At 41.0% G+C, this 5,412-nt stretch overlaps 1 annotated feature.

The window, feature by feature from the left end:
* Nucleotides 213-414: a silencer, noted in NCBI's record as "fragment chr7:119709548-119709749 (GRCh37/hg19 assembly coordinates)". NCBI's record gives its function as "represses an EF-1alpha promoter that drives an FKBP-Casp9 reporter gene in an ReSE screen in K562 erythroleukemia cells {active_cell/tissue: K562}" and the evidence as "EXISTENCE:reporter gene assay evidence [ECO:0000049][PMID:32094911]".

The following is a 5,412-nucleotide window of genomic DNA, read 5'->3' as shown; positions in this document are numbered from 1 at the left end:
TCTATTTTTATGGGACATGGGGTACTACATCAGCTTAGCTCTGGGATGTTTAGCTTCTCAGCTCAGCCAGAGTTCCACTTCTTCAGAGGGCAATGAGCTTAAGCTCATGTCTGTGAGCTGGATAGACATATTTATGCACAGTGCAAATACCATTTTCCTGAGATCCAGGTGGCTCTTCTCCTTAGGTTCTGGGGCATGTGATTGCTCTTGGCAGCCAAAGGAACATTTTCCGGCATATAGGGCCCTGCTTCAACACAGGCACCTTGGAGACATAACTGCTCTGACAGCTAAGGTAATATTTCTTAGGAGAGATGGTACCACTTCAGCTGTAGGCACAGGGAACAAGGGGATAAGTGGTTGGAGTGGTTCTACTTCAATTTGGTTCCACAAGGAAGGATATAACATCTGCTTGCAGCTTGGCTTTGGGATGTTAGCCCACCAGACCGGTGTGGCCCACTGGCAACTTAGTCTCATTAATGAAGGGCAGCAATGACTGCTTGCCCCCAGTGTAAGACACACTCTGGTAGTTCTAATTCCAAGATGATATAGGACAGCAGTCATGTGGCCACTGGGGTGGGGAACAGTGTAAGCTCCTTCTCTGGAAGAGCACAGCTACCTTAATTCTGGGTAGCTCCCTTAGCTGGGCTTAGTGACTGTAAGAACTATATGGGACCCCAGTGGTGAGGTGAGATCTGTACATGTCTGTATTGGTTCTTTTTCATGGACCAATATGCTAATAAAGACATATCTGAAACTAGGCAATTTATAAATGAAAGAGGTTTATTGAACTTACAAATCCACATGGCTGGGGAGGCCTCACAATCATGGCAGAAGGCAAGGAGGAGCAGGTCACATCTTACATGGATGGCAGCAGGCAAAGAGCTTGTGCAGGGCAACTCCCATTTTTAAAACCATCAGATCTTGTGAGACCCATTCACTATCATGAGAACAGCACTGGGAAGACCCGCCCCCATAATTCAATCATCTCCCACTGAGTCCCTCCCAAAATGGGTGGGAATTATGGGAGCTACAAGATGAGATTAGGGTGGGGACACAGAGCCAAAACATATCATTCCACCCCGGCCCCTCCCAAATCTCATATCTTCACATTTCAAAACCAATCATGTCTTCCCAACAGTCCTCCAAAGTCTGAACTCACTTCAGCATTAACTCAAAAGTCTACAGTCCAAAGTCTCATCTGAGACAAGGCAAGTCCCCCCTGCCTATGAGCCTGTAAACTAAAGCAATTTAGTTACTTCCTAGATACAATGAGGGTACAGGCTTTGGGTAAATACAGCCATTCCAAATGGGAGCAACTGGCCAAAAGAAAGGGGCTACAGGCCCCATGCAAGTACAAAATCCAATGGGGCAGTCAAACCTTAAAACTCCAAAATTATCTCTTTTCACTCCATGTCTCATATCCAGTTCATGTCAATGGAAGTAGTGAGTTCTTGTGGTCTTGGACAGCTCTGCTCCTGTGGCTTTGCAGGGTACAGCTGAATTCCTGGCTGCTTTCATGGGCTGGCATTACATGTCTGCAGCTTTTCTAGGTGCACAGTTCAAGCTGTCAGTGAATCTACCACTCTGGGATCTGGAGGATGGTGGCCTTCTTCTCACAGCTCCACTAGGTGGTGCCCCAGCAGGGACTCTGTGTGGGAGCTCCAACCCCACATTTCCCTTCTGCACTGTTCTAATAGATGTTCTTCATGAGAGCCCCACCCCTGCAGTAAACTTCTGCCTGGACATCCAGGCATTTCCATACATTCTCTGAAATCTAGATGGAGGTTCCCAAACCCAATTTTGGACTTTTGTGCACCTGCAGGCTCAACACCACATGAAAGCTGCCAAAGTTTGGGGCTCGCACCCTCTGAAGCCATGGCGCGAGCACTACATTGGCCCATTTTAGCTGGGGCACAGAACACCAAGTCCCTAGGCTGGACATAGCATGGGGACTCTGGGCCCAGCCACAAAACCACTTTTCCTCCTAGGCCTCCTAGGCCTCTAGGCTTGTGAAGGGAGGGCCTGATGTGAAGATCTCCAACATACCCTCGAGACATTTTTTTCCATTTTCTTGGAGATTAACATTCAGCTCCTCATTACTTATGAAAATTTCTGCTGCTGGCTTGAATTTCTCCTCAGAATACGAGATTTTCTTTTCTATCACATTGTCAGGCTGCAAATTTTCTGAACTTTTATGCTCTGCTTCCCTTAAAAACCTGAACACCTTTAACAGCACCCAGTCACCTCTTGAATACTTTGCTGCTTAGAAATTTCTTCTGCCAGATATCCTAACAATCTCTCTCAAGTTCAAAGTTCCACAAATCTCTAGAGCAGGGGCAAAATGCTGCCAGTGTCTTTGCTAAAACATAATAGTCACCTCTGCTCCAGTTTCCAACAATTTCCTCATCTCCATCTGAGGCCACCTCAGCCTGGATTTCATTGTCCATATCATTATTAGCATTTTGGTCAAAGTGATTCAACAAGTCTCTAGGGAGTTCTAAACTTTCCCACATTTTCCCGTCTTCTTCTGAGCCCTCTAAACTGTTCCAATCTCTGCTTGTTACCCAGTACCAAAGTCACTGCCATATTTTCAGGTATCTTTTCAGCAGCACCCCACTCTACTGGTACCAGTTTACTGTATTTGTCTGTTTTCATGCTGCTGATAAAGACATACCCAAGACTGGGCAATTTACAAAAGAAAAAGGTTTATTGGGCTTACAGTTCCACATGGCTGGGGAGGCCTCACAACCATGGCAGAAGGCAAGGAGGAGCAAGTCACATCTTACATGGATGGCAGCAGGCAAAGAGATCTTGTGCAGCACAACACCCATTTTTTAAACCATCAGATCTTGTGAGACCCATTCACTATCATGAGAACAGCATGGGAAAGACACATCCTCATAATTTAGTCATTTCTCACTGGGTCCCTTCCACAATATGTGGGAATGATGGGAGTTACAAGATGAGATTTGGGTGGAGACACAGAGCCAAACCTTATCAATGTCTAAGGTGTTGAAAAGAGTTGTTGCGATCTTCTTTCTTACCTCCATGCTGTGGGGAAAATTTCCTCCTGGCTCCCAGCTAATCTCAATTGGGGGATGGGATGGTGGAAGCCTGGGATTTTTTTCTATTCTTTATGTGGCTATCCTGGATTTCTGTGCTCAACAGGGTTTCTGTTACTCCTCTTATGCACTCCGGCCCTCTCTCTCAGTTATTTTCATTAATATGTATTTGTTTAGTCATTGCTCTGGTTGACTTTGTGAGGGGGACAAGGTCAAGGGTCTGTTGGTCAGCCATTTTGCTGATGTTACTCTTCTGATTGATGCTTATCTTTGGAAACTGATAAAACTATCTAAAATTTATGGCTGTTTATATTGATCTTCTATTTTTTACTGGGGTATAGTGAGGCTTTAGAAAGTGAATCTTGACCTGCACATGTGTATGACTATGACTAACAGATGCCTTGGCCCTACCTTGAACAAACTGAGCTCACATCTTATTTCTAAAATTATATAACTAAATTAGTTCTCTCCTTTGGCTCATGCCCTTTTTGGCTTTCATTTCAATGCAGGAAGATGCTACTTTTGCTTCCTGAAGAGAGGAACACAATACATTGGTTTGTCCTTTTGCAGCATCAATTACTATCACTCAGAAAACAGGAGAGATGAAAATGACGGAACACATTAAAGTAGCAAATTGACACATACTGGCATCGTTACACTCTATCTGACTCTACACATTTATCATGAATTTAAGTATTAAATTTCTGTAGATGGGAAATTGTCTGTAAAATAAAAATGTCATGTATTATTTTTCCATGAATAGCGATGGGGTTTATTCATGGCTTCAAGAGATATAGTCTACAGAGTTTCTGCAAACTGAATAATAAAGGGAAATAGTAAGTAACAGAACATCTAAGCATGTTATGTTTCATGGAGTTACCTTGTTCATTTCAGACAAAGAGCCTGTAGGAGTAGATTTGTGGAGCTAGAGATGGCAGGTCCCTGATGGAAAGTCTGACTGTCTCCAGACAGGCAAGATTTTGAGCCCAGTGATTTTCTCCTGCTCATGAGATTAGTTTGTTTTATAATCTGCTGCTGCCGAACAAACTTTAACACTACTTATAGAAAGAAACTGGTGAGATGCTGAAAGGAAGAGAGAGAAAAACTTGTATTATGAATTAATGCAAGTGGAAGATAATAAAAACACCCCAAACCTAACAGATATCTTAAAGAAAATCTTACCAGACTTACTGATGTTCTTGAAATGTGTACAAACACTTCTATTTTTCTAAAACTAGAATAAAAAATTCAATTGTACAACTATTAAAATTTACTATAAGCTAAATTACTTTGTATTGTGCATCACTAATTTAATATGCACTCAACTAAAAGTCTATGTTGGTAATAGAATGCATAGAACAAGTAGAGTGAAAGATCAAACCTGTCCTATTTCTTAGTGATTCACATTACAATTTTGTTTGAGAACTAAACATGGAAGATTTTTATTTCTAAAAAATACTAACATCTCAGACCCCAAAGTGAACTTAAGTATATTTGAATAAAACTTTTAATTTCTCAAGTGAGGTAATCGTAGCCCATGAGGATGATGGACTTGCTCAATGGCATAAAATGAAACATTAATATCAACCATTATATTCTTACCTTCCACTCTGTTTGATTATATCACGTTTTCCATGTCTGTGTGAAACTGAGGGAATATCCAATTAGATGTCAAGCTGATAATACTGGCTATAGGTACTTTGAAATATTGTGGAAATTTTTATATTTAATTTTATTTGTATATGTGATACAAGATTCACATTAAGTTTTTCCAAAGCACACAGAAATCAGTTCTTTTTAAAATGGATATTCCTATTCTCATCCTAGTGATCTTGCTTACATAAAATGTTTGGGTGAGGAAGATAAAAAAGCCACCCATTTCAAATAGTACAGTAGGGAGTTGGGGTGATAAATAGCTTTTCAAAGACATGATAACAGATGCCATTAAAAGGCACAAGCTGTTAAATCTAGAGTCTCATATGTGCTTTGTTCTTGATTTCTAAATTTATCCCAGGTTGTTTTCAGAACTTAAAACACAGTCATGGGAGGCTGGTGATTAGAGAAACTATTTGAAGTTTCACAATCAGAGCAGCTGGTCAGAGATGACAGAAGATGATGCTGAATTGTATGAAGCAAATGCAAAAGAGTGATTGGGGAATGTTTTGGCAAGTAATAAAAGAAAACATCAGAGACTTTTAGCCAGTGTCAAATAGCATTTAAGTTATATATGTTTTTCAGACCCAATGTATCAATTGGTCTTCTTTCTTCTAAGTCATAAGGCCATATGCTTATTTGAGAATTATAGAAAGGAATTGTATTAGTCTGTTCTCATACCACTATAAAGAACTAC

Source organism: Homo sapiens, chromosome 7, assembly GCF_000001405.40.
Source record: "Homo sapiens chromosome 7, GRCh38.p14 Primary Assembly".
Taxonomy (NCBI): domain Eukaryota; kingdom Metazoa; phylum Chordata; class Mammalia; order Primates; family Hominidae; genus Homo; species Homo sapiens.
This window is presented reverse-complemented; position numbering and strand designations above follow the sequence as displayed.